The following is a 17,620-nucleotide window of genomic DNA, read 5'->3' as shown; positions in this document are numbered from 1 at the left end:
TGCCTCCAGTTTGTTCTTTTTGCTTAGAATTGCCTTGGCTATTCGATCTCTTTTTTGGTTCCATATGAATTTTTAAATAGTTTTTTTGGTCTAATTCTGTGAAGAATGTCATTGGTAGTTTGATAGGAATAGCACTGAATCTGTAAATTGCTTTGGGCAATATGACCATTTTAACAATATTGATTCTTCCTATCCATAGCATGGAATGTTTTTTCATTCATTTGTATCATCCCCAATTTCTTTGAGCAGTGTTCTGTTACTCTCATTGTAGAGATCTTTCCCCTCCCTGGTTAGCTATATTTGTATTTTATTCTTTTTGTGGCTTTTGTGAATGGGATTGTGTTCTTGATTTGGGTCTCTGCTTAGATGTCACTGATGTATAGAAATGCAATGGATTTTGGTACATTAATTTTGTATCCTGAAACTGCTGAAGTTATCAGATCTAAGAGCTTGTGGGCAGAGACTAATTGGTTTTCTAGGTCTAGAATTATATCATCCATAAACAGAGATAGTTTGACTTCCTCTCTACCTATTTGGATGCCTTTTACTTCTTTCTTTTGCCTCATTGCTCTGCCTAGGATTCCAGTACTATGTTGAATAGGGGTAGTGAGAGTGGGCATCCTTGTCTTGTTCCAGTTATCAGGGGGAATGCTTCCAGCTTTTGCCCATTCATTACAATGTTATCTGTGGGTCTATCATATATGGCTTTTATCATTTTGAGATATGTTCATTCAATGCCTAGTTTGTTGAGGGTTTTTAACATGAGGGGATATTGAATTTTATTAAAAGCCTTTTCTAGGCTGGGCACAGTGGCTTACGCCCAGCACTTTAGGAGGCCGAGGCAGGCAGATCACTTGAGGCTAGGACTTCAAGACCAGCCTGGCCAACATGGCAAAACCCCATCTCTACTAAAAATACAAAAATTAGCTGGGCGTGGTGGCGTGTGCCTGTAATTCCAGCTATTGGGGAGGCTGATGTATGAGAATCATTTGAACCTGGGAGGCCAAGGTTTCACTTAGCCGATATTGTGCCACTACACTCCAGCCCAGATGACAGAGGATCTGCATCTGTTGAGATGATAATGTGATTTTTGTTTTTAGTTCTGTTTATGTGGTGAATCACATTTCTTGATTTGTGTATGTTGAACCAACCTTGCATCCCAGGAATAAAGCTTACTTGATTGTGGCGGATCGTCTTTTTGATGTGCTGCTGGATTCAATTTGCTAGTATTTGTTGAGGACTTTTGCATCTATGATCATCAGGAATATTGGCCTGAAGTTTTCTTTTTTTCTTGTGTCTTTGTCAGATTTTGATATCAGGATGATTATGGCCTCATAGAATGAGTTAAAGAGAAGTCCCTTCTCCTCAATTTTTTGGAGTAGTCTCAGTAGGAATGGTATCAGCTCTTCTCTTACATCTGGTAGAATTTGGCTGTGAATCCTTCTGACCCTGGGATTTTTCTGGTTGATAGACTTTTATTATTGATTCAGTTTCTGAACTCACTATTGGTTTGTTCAGGGATTGAATTTCTTCCTAGTTCAATATTGGAAGGTTGTATGTTTCTAAGAATTTATCCATTTCTAGGTTTTCTGGTTTGTGTGCATAGAGATGTTCATAGTAGTCTCTGAGGTTATTTTTTTTTTGTATTTCTGTGGGGTTAATAGTAATATCCCCTTGTCATTATGATTATTTATTTGGATCTTTTCTTTTTCTTTATTAGTCTAGCTGGTGGTCTATCAATCTTATTCTTTCAAAAACCAACTTCTGGATTTGTTGATCTTTAGTATGGTTTTTTGCATCTCTATTTCCTTCAGTTCAACTCTGATTTTTGTTATTTATTGTCTTCTGCTAGCTCTGGGGTTGGTTTGCCTTGTTCCTCTAGGTGTGATGTTAAGTTGTTAATTTGAGGTCTTTCTAACTTTTTGAGGGCGTTTAGCACTATAAACTTCTGCTTAACACTGCTTTAGCTGTGTCCCCAAGATTCTGGTATGTTGTATCTTTGTTCTCATTAGTTTCAAATAATTTATTGGTTTCTGCCTTAGTTTTATAGTTTCCCCAAAAGTCATTCAGGGGCAGGTTGTTTAATTTCCATTAATCATATGATTATGAGCAATTTCCTTAGTATTGATTTTTATTTTTATTGCACTGTGGTCCAAGAGTGTGTTTAGTATGATTTTTTTTTTTAATTTGCTGAGGATTGTTTTGCAGCTGATTGTGGTCAATTTTAGAGTATGTGCCATGTGCAGATGAGAAGAATGTATATTCTGTTTGTTTTGGGTGGAGAGGTCTATAAATATCTGTTAGGCCAATTTAGTCAAATGTCCTGTGCAGATCCTGAATATCTTTGCTAGTTTTCTGATTTGATCATCTGCCTAATACTGTCAGTGGCATGTTGAAATCTCCCACTATTATTGTGTGCTTATCTAAGTCTCTTTGTAGGTCTCTAAGAATTTGCCTTATGAACCTGGGTGCTCCTGTGCTAGATGCATATATATTTAGGATAGTTAGGTCTTCTTGTTGAATTGAACCTTTTACCATTATGTAATGTTATTCTTTGTCTTTTTTGATCATTATGGGTTTAAAGACTGTTTTGTCTGAAATTAGAATAGCAATCCCTGCTTTGTTCTGTTTTCCATTTGGTTTTTCTCTTTTCCTTTATTTTGAGCCTACGGGTATGTTTGCATGTGAGATGGGTTCCTTGTAGATCACATACAGTTGGGTCTTGCTTCTTCATCCAACTTGCCACTCTATGCCGTTTAATTTGGAGCATTTAGCCTATTTACATTCAAGGTTAATATTGGTATGTGGAGGTTTGATCCTAGATCATACATTTGGTCTCTTTACATAATCCTATATTTCTCAGAAGCTTTATTCATTCTTCTCTGTTGTTTTTTCTTTGTTTTTATCTGAGTTATTTCAGAGAAACCAGTCTTCAAACTCTGAGATTCTTTCCTCAGGTTGGTTGATTGCACTGTTAATACTTGTGATTGATTGTATTATGAAATTCTTGAAGTGAGTTTTCCTGCTCTATCAGTTCAGTTTGGTCCTTTCTTAGAGTGATCATTTTGTGTTTTATGTCCTGTACCATTTTATTGTATTCCTTAGTTTCAAAGTTTGTTTCTGACCACTCCAATATCTGTCATCAGACAGATCTGTTTCTTTTGGTTCCTAAGCATCTTATCTGGTTTCTCTATCTATTTATTAGTAATTGCCATTGAAAATTTTTGTTGTAAAGCTTCCATAGAGAATCTTTGCCTTTGCCTCTTCTGGGTGCCTGAGAGCACTACTGGGTGTGAGAACTTCAACTAAGGGTGGGGTTTCTGGGCTTTGTTAATTTTGAGGTGTATCTGTGGTCTGTGGCCACAGAAGAATACGTTTTTTCTTCTGCTTTGTTCATAACCAAAGTAGCTTCCCTGTAGTCCTGTGACTTTGAGAGAAGTGGCATGCTTTCAGATATGGTTCACTTTAACCTTGAAGTGATGCTCTTTTGGGATGCCAGATCAACGATGGAGAGGATCTCTCCACCACACCCCTTTCTCTCAGTGGTAACAGGGTCAGATCCCAAGTGTGCAGTATTGTAAATGCCATCCAGGAAAGAGGAAGTATTGGTGCTCCAAGATTCTGTTAGCTTTTCTCATTATAAGCTTTCATTCAGAAGTTGTCTTGGAACATTTTCACTATATTTTCCTCTGTTTGATGCTTTTACAGAGTTGTGGAGTTTTTACTGAATTGATTAATCTGAATAACTTAGTATACCTTTACTAGATCCAAACATATATTCTTTAAAAGTATCCCACCTCACTTAGCACAGTAATCGAGAACTTGGCTTCCAATAATTATTGTCCCATACAGAGTTTACATATGTCTGTGGTCAATTACAGCATCCTGGAAATTGAAATGGACTGTGGCTATAAAATAAATTATCAGAACTATTGCTGGGGATTAGTATCAGGATCATTAAAACCAATGTGGCACTTAAATAATACATAATAATTAAGAAACAGTAGTTGATCTTAATATTATTTCTTGACTAAAATCAATATGTTGTGTACCATTATATTTTAACTATATTACTTTGTGTGAGATGGTGAGGCCAGATGCAGATCAAGAGAGAGAAAATGGAAAGAGTTTTACAGTTTGTTATGCTCACAGTTCCCTGGACAAACACAGCACACCACACAGGACCACTCGAGAAGCACTGGGGTCAGTCACGAGGTAGAAGGTGAAGGGGGCAACTGTGAGCACACATTTTATTGTGGTTTTTACAGAAAGGAACAGGTGACGCCATGGTGAACAAGTTTTAGATTGGCTGATGTGAACAAGTTCAGTGGGCTCCACGGCGTAGTGGCTGTTTCTGGTTTGGTTGGTTGGTTGGTTGGTTTTTTCTGGTTCCTGGCCCTAGAGTGATTACGGCAGATGTAGTGGCCCAGAATGTGACAGCCCAATAAGGGAAGTGGTTGGAGTTGTACACTCAGCTTCTCAAAACAGGAACTGACCAGCCTCTTTGCCAGGGTCTCAGAACTAAGTCAAGACATTTAAGTCTTGACAAGTCAGAACTAAGTCAAGACGTATAACTATACTATACCTTGAAGCAACTTATAGTATAGGAACCTAAGCCTATGATACAAGGACACATTGCTCTAATGGACCAAAAGTGCCTAACTTTGATTTGTTTTTACACTGTGTTGAAACGGTAGATGAAAAAGTAAGTGTCTGTTGCATTGGCTGAAATCTTCAAAACATCTTGAAAAAATGTACCGTAATTTTTAACTATGTTTCTTCCTTAATGATGGACTGCCTGTGCTGAGGATGTCCTGTAAAGACTTCAAGTCTTTTAGCTTTTTCGTCAGTCAGTATGCTTTGGTGATTAGAAACTGTAAATCTACTCAGAGAAAGCTTCTGCCACTTGGCAGATATTTTGGGTCAAGTATAAGAGAAAGGCAGTGCTACTCCTTTATTGGTTTCATTACATTTGATTTTCCCATTGTTTTCAGAACAAAAAAAAGTAACAAATCAATTTGGTTTAATGTCATTTTTGTGTTAAAAATAACATGTAGACTATTAAAATGATATATATTAACTGCAATAATAGAAGCTCATTAATATTTTATATACTTGCTTTAACGTATTCATACACTTACCTGAAAATACCCAAATCTGCTCTGATTCAGAATTTTAGTATCCCTGTAAAAGTGTTCAGCAGTATTATTAGCATCTTGGCTGTCCATCTTTTCACTCTATCAAGTTCAGAATTATACCTTGCAATTTAAAATGTCTAATACTTCAGTCTGCAGATGTATACAAATGGATCCAGAAACAAAAGCAGATCCCTTAAAACTCAGTTTAATTTATATGACAACTGAGTGACCATTCTTCTCCAAGCATTCTGCTAAATGCTAGAAACACAAGATGAATAAGGCTTTGCCACTAAGAACTTATTCTGTCCCATTGCCTATCTTTGTTTCTCCTAGCATTCATCACTGTCAGTAATTATGTTTTATACTTGTTTCATTACATGTTTTAAAACAGTCTGTCTTTCCTATGGGACTATCAGCTCCATAAAGTTTGTTTTATTCCTCACTGTATCCCTAGCTCTTAAAAGAGTGTCCAGCACTAGTAGATATCCAGAACATATTTGTTGAATGAATGAATGAATGAATGAATGAAAGCTAGTGAATTTTATCAATTATTGTTTCTTTTCTAGGCCAAACTCTTCTTCCAGTTTTGATCCTTTCTGGTCAAAGTAGAATTTCAGCTTTTTGAAATGCATTTGAACTTTTAAAACATGATATAATGTGCCCCCAGTATTTAACAGACCTAAGAAACTTGAATTCCCATAATTGTACCACTGCTGTATAATGAAACTTGTTTCTCATCTTACAAACTTGAAAATGCTATTGATTCTAAGAATTATTATGAAGACTGTTGATAATAAAGGAATACATAGTCCTGAACATAAGCACTAGGATTAATTGGGTGAAATAGTTTTTAAAAATCAGTATTGCTAATAATTAAGGTCATACTTCCAGAGGAGAAATATTGCACAAAACATTGCAGCTAGGATTATTCAATTTTTTGAACTCCTATTCTGAAATCTAGAAAAGTACACGTTGGCCGTATAACACAGACCTCTGTGAACTGGGCATGTATGTCCACAGGCACCAGACCACTAGAAATTATTGGCAGAGTATGTTGAATCGGTATCTATATATGAACATAACTATTTGGTTAAGCATAACAGTCTATAGTATAGTGTTGGGCACTTGATAATGATTCTTTAAATGTTTACAGGTAATTTATTTAAGAATTATTGAAATGTGATTTTTAAAGGAGTGTGCTAGCCAGCAGTGCAACACCAAAGAAGAATCCTTTCAACTTGAATTCTAGTATGCCGTGCCCCTTTATGAGCAAGCAGAGTAGCCCATATATGACTAACTTAAAGGAGTTTACTAGAATGAGTTGTGTCAAAAAACCTCATCAATCTTGCTACTTGTTATCACACCATCATAGCTTAATTCATTTGAATACTGAAAATTATTTGTTTGTGTGGGCTTTTTGGCATTGATTTTAACTAAAATTCAAATACTGTAGAAGAAACTATAGTTTCCAATAACCATGATCTTGAAAACAACCTAAATGTGGTCCATAGAATGACCTAAATGTGGTCCATAGATTGCTCCTCTTTCTGTATCCCCTTTGTGCACCTCTATAGTCAGCTTTCAGATATGTTTGATTATTTCTCTTCTTTCTCCTTAATGTTTTCAAATCCATTTGCCTTCATCCCCGCTACTCCTATATTAGATCAGATCACCATCATCTCTGACCTCTCTTACAAACTCTTCATTTATCCCTGGACTGCTGCAACAGCTTTTAGATCTGGTTTCACATGTATGTCCAATCTCATTTCTCATCACTTCCTATTTTTTATTACTCTATTTAAGATTTTAGAGAAACATCTATCACATTAAGGATTTTTTATTACAATAAAAGATAATATTACTAGTTTCTTTTTTTTTTTGAGACGGAGTTTCGCTCTTTCGCCCAGGCTGGAGTGTAGTGGCTATCTCGGTTCACTACAATCTCCACCTCCTGGGTTCATGCCATTCTCTTGCCTCAGCCTCCAGAGTAGCTGAGACTACAGGCGCCAGCCACCATGCCCAGCTAATTTTTTTGTATTTTTAGTAGAGACGGGGTTTCACCGTGTTAGCCAGGATGGTCTCAATCTCCTAACCTCATGATCCACCTGCCTCGGCCTCCCAAAGTGCTGGGATTACAGGCGTGAGCCACCGCGCCCGGCAATATTACTAGTTTTAAAGATCAAAATGATATCCAAATCGCCCAGTGCTTTAGAAATAGCTGCTAAGTAGTAAGCCAGCTAGTCACTTCTCTTTGTGGGCAGTGGTGAGGAGCGGGTGAGTACCAGTACTCTGATACCTGCTTTGCTGTTATCCAGCAAAGACTCATACCTTTTAAAAGACAATACCAGTGAACAAAACAGGCAAAAATCCCTGCCCTCATGGAGCTTTCATTCTAATAGGGGAGACAAACATTAATTGGTCTCAAATTAAACAAGAGAAATTAAATATGTGATAGATGGTGAGTGCTAAAGAGAAAAATAAACAGAAAAAGCCAATAGGCACTGTATGTATTTTTGAGAGCGCCCCATTTTAGAAGAGGTCAGCAGAGATAATCATCCTCCACTCTCCTGCCCTTCTTTCTCTTCTTCCTTGGCCAACCACAGCCCTGTTTAAATATAACTCGTCTTCTCTGTAGCTTTACTCATTCAGCTCAAGGTGGCTGGAAAAAACACACACAGCCATTCTGGGTTGTCTCACTTTAAATTCATGACCACAAAAGGGACCTTTAGTGCTGCAAGACAATCATTTTATATATTCTACTCTCTTTGGTGACTATTTCATACCCTTTATTCTGTCCTCAAATCTTTTTGCAACTCCTCCCCCATCATCCCTTTTAGGCAATAACTTCAATTCCTGTTTCACTGAGAAAAGAGAAGCAATCAGAAGAGAACTTCTGCAGTTTCCCACACTGCAGTTATATTTTCCCATGCCTGTGTTTCCTGTCAACTTGGCTGTAATGCTCCAGTGTAAGAACAAACTCTTCATTTGTCCCTAGATTTTATTTTTGTTTTGCTGTAGTGCCTCCTTGTTAGATGTTCAGTTAAATACAAAGAATTGTTTTAAAAAACAATTTTCCACAACAACAGAATGCCGAACGTAGCAACATGAAATGGTTAACTACCCTGAGAGAAACAAATAGAAATAATTCATGGAATAAGCAATTTGAAGCAAACCAACAAACCTTCTAAAGAAAATTCCTACTTAAGTGAAATCTTGGCTTTTAAATTTATTTGAACTTTCTGCCAGCACTGGCCAGATATGCTCAGCAAATCACATTTGGTAACAAAGCCCTGCCTAGCCTAAATAGTCAAGATTGCAGTTTATATCTTGACCAGTGGTATATGTGAATCCAGTAAATCCAGTAAATATCACTAGGATTTTTGCCATCTTTTTTTCTTTCTGTTTCAAAGCTTACCTCCTTTTCTGCCCAGCCTTAAAAACCAAGTCTTGGTAAAGGACAACACATTGAGACCCTGTCTCTATTTATATATATATACAAAGAAAAAGGAGGAGGAGGGCGAAGAGGAGGAGGGGAAGAGGAGGAGGGGAAGGAGGAGGAGGAAGAGTAGGAGAGAAAAGCCCATGTACTTACTTTTACTTGCACAAAAAGATTACTAGTTCTAGAAGGCAGTAGATTTTAGGCAAGATTTATATATATGAATTGTATCCCTCCTTTTTGGAGAACATAAATAATACTGAAGATTATGCATGAAATCAATAAAATGTATCTACTGAAGTATTTTCACTGACCTATCTTACCTATTGGTCATAATACAAAATTCTATGACAGTCATAATAGATTTATAATTTTCAAGTTAAAAAATTTATTTTTAATTTTAATGAAAAAATACGTTACAAAGGTGATAATCTACCCTTGACATACAATAGCATCCATATTGAGCATCAGTAAAGTACCAGACTAACTGCTAGATGGTACTTCCATATCTCTGGGGAAGAATTCATTTGTTCTCCTTAGAAGTGTTTTTGTTTTTAGTGATTCAATGGTATAGTCCAAGTCTTGAACCAATTAGGTCTTTAATTAATAATAAATTGCAAAATAAACTACAGAGCATTTTAAAAGTAAATGGCTTGTTTGATGCATTTGACTCTCCGTGTAATGATGTCTCTATATATACCACAGCATTATATATTCTAGCATTCATATCAAAAGTGTTATTACTCGCTTTCAAAAGTGAGCCTTTTCAGGTTAGGGCTCAGCATCCTGCTTCTCTGTGTGCATTATTGTGATGTATTAAGCATCAAAGCTTTCCCCCTGAAAATATGCCTTTTAAAAAGTGCTAGCATTCCTTGGTCTCTAAATTAGTTGTATGCATTGAATCTTGAAAGTACTTGGCTGTTTGCCTCTGTCCTCTCTACTTCATAAGAATTGAATTCTTTTAAGTTGCTATTTTCTTGCTTGCTTTTGTCCACCTATTTGCTACAGTTAGGAGAATATTAGAGGCAAAACCAAATATAAGTATAGTCATGATATACGTAGTCCTCCCTTGACTTGCTTTATTCCCCGTGGAAACTTCTATACCTTTTCGCAACTGACAATTAAATATGATTACCAGTACCTGTGATTTTTAAAATTATCTACCCATAAGTAACTATGGTCAAAACTAAATGTAACACCAAATAATTAAATAAAATAATTTTTTCATAGGTAATTTTTCATCTTAGTATCGGAGAACTTAGGATCAGAAGCTTTTTAAAAATTTGAGTTTCTGTATGGTATCTTTTGGTTTGAAGTTTAATTTGTAATATCTTATTAATTCCTCTATAATTATCCCCTCTTAGCTACTACTACTTTATCTTGCAATGTATGTATCACAAAGAATTTTGAGCTTCAAAGAAGAAGCTGTTTTACTAGTTAACTTATTAGTGTATAGTATCTGTAACTGCAGTATATATGTACTAATCTTACTTAAATGAGAGATTGTTGTTATTTTATTTACCTATTTATTATATTTTTTTGAGACGGAGTTTCATTCTTATTGCCCAGGCTAGAGTGCAATGGCACAACCTTGGCTCACTGCAACCTCCGCCTCCCAGATTCAAGCGATTCTCCTGCCTTAGCCTCCCGAGTAGCTGGGATTACAGGCTCCTGCCACCAGACCCAGCTAATTTTTTTGTATTTTTACTAGAGATGGAGTTTCACCATGTTTGCCAGGCTGGTCTCGAACTCCTGACCTCAGGTGATCTACCCACCTTGGCCTTCCAAAGTGCTGGGATTACAGGCGTGAGCCACCGCACCTGGCCTGTTGTTACTATTTTTATAGATGAAATCAACAAACCTCTGTGGGAAAAAAATGAGATTTTCCCTACCAGATATCAAAATACATAAAACAGTATTGGCACAAGGATAGATAATTTGAACAGAATGCAGAAAAAGAAAAAAAAATATAAAATCAGAAATTTTGGTTATGATAATGGTGGTATTTCAAATCATTGGTGAAAAGATGATGTTAAAAAGATAGAAAATCATTTAGAATATTCTTTATTTCATATATAAAATAAATTCCAGACGTATTAAAGAGCTAAGTGTAAAAAAGAGTGTATTAGAAGAAATAAAATTATTTTTATTCTCTTGGAATAGAGAAGACTTTCTAATCAAAACACAAAACCCAGAATCCAAAAAAGAAAAAGTGATTAATCGATCTAACCATAAAAATTAAAATTTTTATGAAGAAAGATACTAAACAAAGATAAATGACAAATGGGATACTGGAAAAATTTTAAAAGGGTTAATGTGCAAAATTCATCAAGTTCCACATTAAAAGGTTAACAACCTAATAGAAAGATGGACAAAGTATGTGAACTCAGTGGTTCAAACAAAGCTCACAAAAGTATCGATGCAAATCTCCTTTAAACATAGCAAAGCAAGTTCAGCCTCACTTTTCATTAAAGAGATGCAAATTTAAGCAATAATTTTTACCCAGCAAATTGGCAAAATGTAGAAGATGGTTAACATCCAGCATCTACAAATACATGGGGAAACAGGAGTTGTCATACAGTATAGGTGGGAATGTAAACTGGCAAATACTTTTTATAAGGTAATGTAGCAAAATCTAACTAAATTTAAACTGTACAGATCCTTTTGCAGTTCCTGGTACAGGAGTCTGTCCTATAGAAATACTTGCATGTGTATAAGCATGCGGTGACATACGTGTCCCTGCAGTTGGTCAGGGCCCTCACATCTTTAACTATGGCTCCTAAAGTGGCCGCCTTCACTCTGGTTTCTCTGCCATCAAATTTTTCCCCACTCTATTCCATCTTTCATACTGCTGTTACAGTTATTTTACTAAAAAGTAAGTATACTGGCCCTGCCTACTTAAAGACTTCTGTTTTATTGTTGCCTACAGATTTTTCACAGTCTTTTCTCTGCCATATTTTATCTGCAGTCTGCCTCTCTGCCTCCAGCCTTCAAGTTCTTTATGCTCCAGTCACACTGAACAACCACCCCAATAAACCAAAAGTGCTTGGCCAGCCCTCGGACATATTCCTAGTCTACATATTATTCACTTATCACGTATTTATTGAGCAGGCACTGTTCTTGAAGTAATGGGAATACAGCAAAGACAAGATTCTTATTTTTTTGAAGTTTAGATTATTGACAGTGAAGTAGAAATTATTGAATAAATAAACATACGCATGTTAATTATCAGATAATAAGTACCATGCAAAAAGTTTAGAGGCTGGGTGCAGTGGCTCACACCTGTTATCCCAGCATTTGGGAGACCGAAGTGGGAGGATCACTTGAAGCCAGGAGTTTGATACCAGCCTCTGCAGCATAGCAAGACCCTGTCCCTACAGAAATTATGAAAGTTTTCTGGGCATGGTGTGTGTGCCTGTAGTTCTAGCTACTTGGGAGGCTGGGGTGGGAGAACCACTTGAGCCAGGAGGTCAAGACTGCAGTGAGGTATGATCATGCTACTGCACTCCAGCCTGAGTGACAGAGCGAGACCTTGTCTGTAAAAAAAGAAAGAAAATTTAAAATAAGCCAGTGTGATAATGGATTGTTGGATATCTGAGGGTGGTAGACCAGGTAGATCCTGTGAAGAAATGAATCTTAAGGTGAGATATAATGATAAAAAGGATATAAAGATCAGGAGAAAGAGCATTTTAAGCAAAGAGAACAGCTAGTTCAAAGACCGCCAAAGCAGTAATACAATCAGTATGTTTGAAGTAAAAGAAATAGTATGCAAAATGAGGCAATAGTGATGTAAGAGTAGGTCAGATCTACGCAGTTTATTATGTTAAGCAATGTCAGCCACCACAGCAAACAAACTGAAATCTTAGGGACTAAACAAAACAAAGGTTTATTATTGCTTACGTTGCATGTCTTAGGCAGTTTGGCAGGAAGGCTCTACTAGAGTGTACGCCTTCTTTAACACGTGGTTTCCTGAGATCACCTCTGAGAAAGAGAGGAATGGAAGAGGAACATGGGCACTTAACTAACTCAGTTTTGAAATTATATATATCACTAACTTTTACCTCCATTGGTGAGAACTGCATAGAAGTCTGGGAAATGTATGGTACACATGGAATGTCTGGTGAACACTGTTGTCTCTGCTGCAGACAGGGATCTAAATATTTATGGTTTTATTAACCAGATTAAACAGTTTTAATTGGGAAAGGAATCTAATTATTCAATTAGATTGTATTGAATAAATGAATGAACACATGAATATACAGTATGTAATATTCGCTTGTCCAAAACAAACTGTACATATAGAGTGAACTACACAGCATTTGCACCTAAGGCATTCTCTTCACTTTGTAAAACAATATAATTCCTTGGCTGTATATCTGTAATGTTTGGCTGCTGTAACTGTTTTTTTCTTTCTTTTTTTTTTTTTTAATTAACAGGATGAGAGGCAGCTGCAGGTACCAGCAAATTACAAAATACATAATTACTAAAAGTAACTGAAGCATATTATAGCATAATTCAACAGGAAAAAGAAAAAAACATCTGGCACATGCTATGTTAATTTGTCATAAGAGAGTTCCAAGGAAAGTGCTTGCTGCAGCTGGCAGATCCATCATTTCACTGAAATGAATAGCGCACCTTTTGTTTTTAATTCTCTCATATAATATAGAATAGAACCTTATGCAATTTAATCATCAGTCATCACTAAAGCATTTCATGCATTGAAGGAATTTTCCTTTGTACTGTATCAGCCAAAATCTACATGGCTCATCCTTACCTTAAACGGTGCCTCAATCATAACAGACTGGTCCAAGCAATTATAGTAATTAATTAAAGTGTCCAAGATGTTAGCCTAAATTTAAATTTCTTATCCCATAATTAAGTAACTTTGTTTTATTTCATATGTCTTTTATTTGTTTTATTTAAAGTATGTGTGATGTTTTCAAAGAGATGGATACATTGCAGGGAAAACCTTGCTCATACTCTCATAACCATACCATTTCAGCTAATGGATATGCCAGTGATAGTCACAATTAAAATACAATTAGTGTGGAAACTCTTGACTTTCAATATGGGTTAGGATATTCATTTCTATGATAGAGAAAAACAGAAATGGGCCAATTATTATTATAAAACATCTTCTAATGCAGACCTTTTTGAAATAGTCTGTATTTCCAACTCTCTACTGAGTATTTTCATATGTACTTCAAACTGAGTTTAGTCTAAATTGAACCCATTATTTCACCCCTAGCTGAAGTTTTTATTTTTATTTCATCCTATATTTCCCATTTCTGTGAATGGTAATATCATCTACCCAGTTGCTCAAGAAAAACTCTGGGTATCATCTTGGACTCCTCCTCATAACCCAAACCCCAGTGTTACTAATTCAATCTCCTAGATATCTCTTCAATCTGTCCATTTCTTTCCAGTTGCTATCATTCAGGCTGTCAACATTGCTCACCTGGATTACTGCAATAACACTCTAATTTGACTATGGATTAATATCCTTACTATTTTTCCTGCTACAGTCAGCAAGATTTCCTGATGTTCAAATCGAATCGTCACTTCTCTTCTTAAAATACTTCAGTGCCAATTTCCTGTTACGACTTATAAGGTTCTTTGTGATCTGTATTTCCTTGCACTTCCAGCTTGTTCCTCTCTCACTCCCACCCCCACCTCCTAGTAACACTCTGTATCTCATTCATGCTGAACTTCTTTTGTTTCCTGAATTTATTATCCTTTTTTCCTGGTCTTCACACACGGATTTGACTGTGACACTCTTCTTTTCCTTCTTCTGCCTTTTTCCATCTAACTGCTATTTATCTTTTATATATCAGCTTAAAAGTCTACTTCCTCTGAAGAGACAGCTCTAACCCCCGATTCTTCCATATGTTTTATCATAGCACCATGAAGTTTTTATAGCATTTGCTACCTATTTTAAGCCTAGTAGCTTTCCAATATTTCTAGTGGTTCATAAGTTTCACTATGGCAGTGACTAGATCTTGTTTCCTCCTTGTCTCCCTAGCACCTAGCACAGTAGTATGTAGCATGTAACAGGCACTCATTTCAGTATTTATTAAATGAGTGAACTTCATAATTTCCCCAAACTCCTTCTAAGATGAGCACTTAACAATAGATGTTGTGAGGAAATTTCAACCATTACTTTGTAACTTTCAGTTCATTCTTCAAATAACTTTAAAATAAGCTTCCTGTGAAGGATCTTTATAAATAAAGCTTTAGAACACATTGATTTTCCTATTAGTAATCTCCCAAATTTATTATATCACTTGATGGCTACTTTGAAAATATAATCGGCCGGGTGCAGTGACTCACGCCTGTAATCCCAGCACTTTGGGAGGCCGAAGCGGGCGGATCACGAGGTCAGGAGATCAAGACCATCCTGGTTAACACCATGACACCCCGTCTCTACTAAAAATAGAAAAAAATTAGCCAGGTGTGGTGGTGGGCACCTGTAATCCCAGCTACTTGGGAGGCTGAGGCAGGAGAATGACGTGAACCCGGGAGGCAGAGCTTGCAGTGAGCCGAGATCGCGCCACTGCACTCCAGCCTGGGCGACAGAGCGAGACTCTGTTTCAAAAAAAAGAAAATATAATCACTGAATTATCTCATTAGTTCTGATATGAGAGCAAGTACTTAGCAAAAACTTTGAAAAGGCAAGATGTAAGATATTAGAAATGTTATTACTGGATGGACTAGGCAACTGATTCTGTGGAATTAATTAAAGCATGCATAGGCTAAAAAAAAACACCTTTTGATTGCCAGTTACATTCTAAGCCTTGTGAATGTAGCTTCTCCTTAGGAGTTTTCATTCTAGTGGGGAGAGGCTGTAAGAGAAGAACCAACAATATAACAATCAGAACCAACAAATAAACAATTTAAGATGTTTAAAGTGGTATGAAGAAAATAAATGGAGTCATGTGATACATTACTGGAATGGAGGTAGGAGTTAGAAGAGCTAGATTATTTTAGAAAAAAAAAAATAGTCTAAAAAGGTGACATTTAAACTGAGGTCTGAAAAATGAGAAGAAATTATACTAAAAAGTCAGGAAAATATTCCAGGCAGATGGAAGAATAGCAAGTGTAAAGGTCCAGTGTTAGGAAGGAGTAAGCTCATGTGAGTGAGTATAGTGAGTGAGGGGAAAGAATGCTGTAATATTGAAAAGCTACCTCAGCAGGGATCAGATTGAGTGGGCTATTCTAAATGAGATACTTTTACTCATTTTAAGTAGAATGTTTAAGTAGTACTATTTTAAGGTTAAAAAAAAGTCTAAAGTGCAGCAGTGGGAAATCACTGGAGAATTTGAAACATCCTTAGAGTTTAAAGACCACTTATAACTACTGTATGGAAAATAGACTAGAGAGGGAGCAAAAATGGAATCAGAGAAACCAGATATTAGAGTTTTACAGTAGTTTTGGCAATAGATGATAGTGGCTTAGAATAGGGTTATCTTCAGTGGAGATGGAGAGAAGTGGGCAGTTTTGAAATACATTTGGAAGGTAGAATAGAACTTACTGATAAATATAGGGCATGAAGGAAAAAGGAGGAATCAAAGATGATGCCTAAGCTTTTGACTTGAGCAGCCAGGTAGATGGCAATGCTTATTTACTAGGAAGAAGGGAACTTAGGAAGAGATAGATAAGAAGTAGTTTCCATTTTGGACAGGTTACATTTGAGATGCTTATTAGTTTTTTTCTAGTAAACGTGTCAAGTAGGTCATTGAATACACAAGTGAAGAGCACAGAGAGGTCAGGCTAAAGATAGAAATTTGTAATGTTATATTTACAGTCATGGACTAGACAAGATCACTTAGGGGGAAAGTGTAAATAGGGAAAGAAAGAACCTAACACTGACCCAAAGTTCTCCAGTATATCTAACGCTGACCCGCCTGCCTTAACCCATGGTATTTTTAGTTAACAATGAGAAAAGATTTGAAACTTTGGAATGAATTTTCTTTTTTAGCAGTCAGGTCTTTTGAAGCCATACAAAAAGTTGAGATTACAATCTTTGCATTTGCTAACCATTTTGCCACATACTAGGATTAAATATTTTGTTCAGAAAATATTTATTTTGCCTTTTAGATCTTAATATTATATGATATTACAGATTTGCTTTACTAACATCTCTCGTAATTGATTGGACTTAAGTGGGAAACAATATGATTTAGTTGAGAAAACATTTTGATTAAAAGACTGGTACAACGTGGACATAAAGATGGGAACAACAAACAGTGGGCACTCAGGAGAAGAGAGGGAAGGGCTGAAAGATCTTCCAACAATGGTCTAATCTGATGGCATATCAGTGTTGATTACAGTATTTTGTTTATTTAAGCATTTAATTTTTTAATACATACAACATAAATTGCTTCATATGTAAATTACTTAGTAAACTTTTACTTACACAGAAATTACATTTTGCAAGTATATTTCTAAATTATGTTTTGTAAGGATGAGTAAGATTTTCTGTCACATAAACATGAATTATATAAGTGAACTAAAAACGTATGAGACACTGATGAACTAAGCACTTCCCAGTGATACTATAAGGGATTCCTCATTCTTCTATATGTACTTTAAAATTAGTGGAAGATAGTAATTACACCTTGATCCTTATACCCTATAATAAGCCAGAAATTATAGAGAAATTGGGTACAGTTTTATTTCAATTACTTGGTGCAAAATACTCTTTAAAATATCATACCAGAATGAAATTTCCTCTATCTCTGTGTCTTCCGGCAAGCTACACTTAAATCATCTCTGATAGGTATGAATGTTTCTGTTCTTAAAGATTTCCAGGGAAGAGATTATATAGTCTTACTGGGCATGTGTTTCAACTGTAATACCACTGTGAAACTTTCTGGAAAGTCTTATTTAATGTTTATCCTAAATCATTCATGATACAGGGAACTCTCAATTATTTTCTCTAATGAAGGGAAAATGTCTTGTAGATAACAAAGAGTCGAATCATCCTCCCGGGTCTTTCCTTTATCCCTGCAATGAAACATCCTGACAGAGAAATAAGAAGATACAA

The 17,620-nt window shown here is 36.1% G+C and overlaps 1 protein-coding gene across 5 annotated transcripts in view, besides 2 other annotated features; it reads left to right on the top strand.

Annotated features, from left to right (window-relative positions):
- SCLT1 (sodium channel and clathrin linker 1) overlaps positions 1–17,620 on the top strand; it is a 220,299-nt gene that overhangs the window by 172,158 nt on the left and 30,521 nt on the right. The gene's annotated exons all lie outside the window — the stretch shown is intronic.
- Positions 4,161–4,210: an enhancer, noted in NCBI's record as "active region_21901". NCBI's record gives its function as "activates an Ori minimal core promoter by ATAC-STARR-seq in GM12878 lymphoblastoid cells {active_cell/tissue: GM12878}" and the evidence as "EXISTENCE:reporter gene assay evidence [ECO:0000049][PMID:35858748]".
- Positions 7,882–8,061: an enhancer, noted in NCBI's record as "active region_21900". NCBI's record gives its function as "activates an Ori minimal core promoter by ATAC-STARR-seq in GM12878 lymphoblastoid cells {active_cell/tissue: GM12878}" and the evidence as "EXISTENCE:reporter gene assay evidence [ECO:0000049][PMID:35858748]".

This window comes from Homo sapiens, chromosome 4 (genome assembly GCF_000001405.40).
Source record: "Homo sapiens chromosome 4, GRCh38.p14 Primary Assembly".
In the NCBI taxonomy this organism is placed as follows: Eukaryota; Metazoa; Chordata; class Mammalia; order Primates; family Hominidae; genus Homo; species Homo sapiens.
This window is presented reverse-complemented; position numbering and strand designations above follow the sequence as displayed.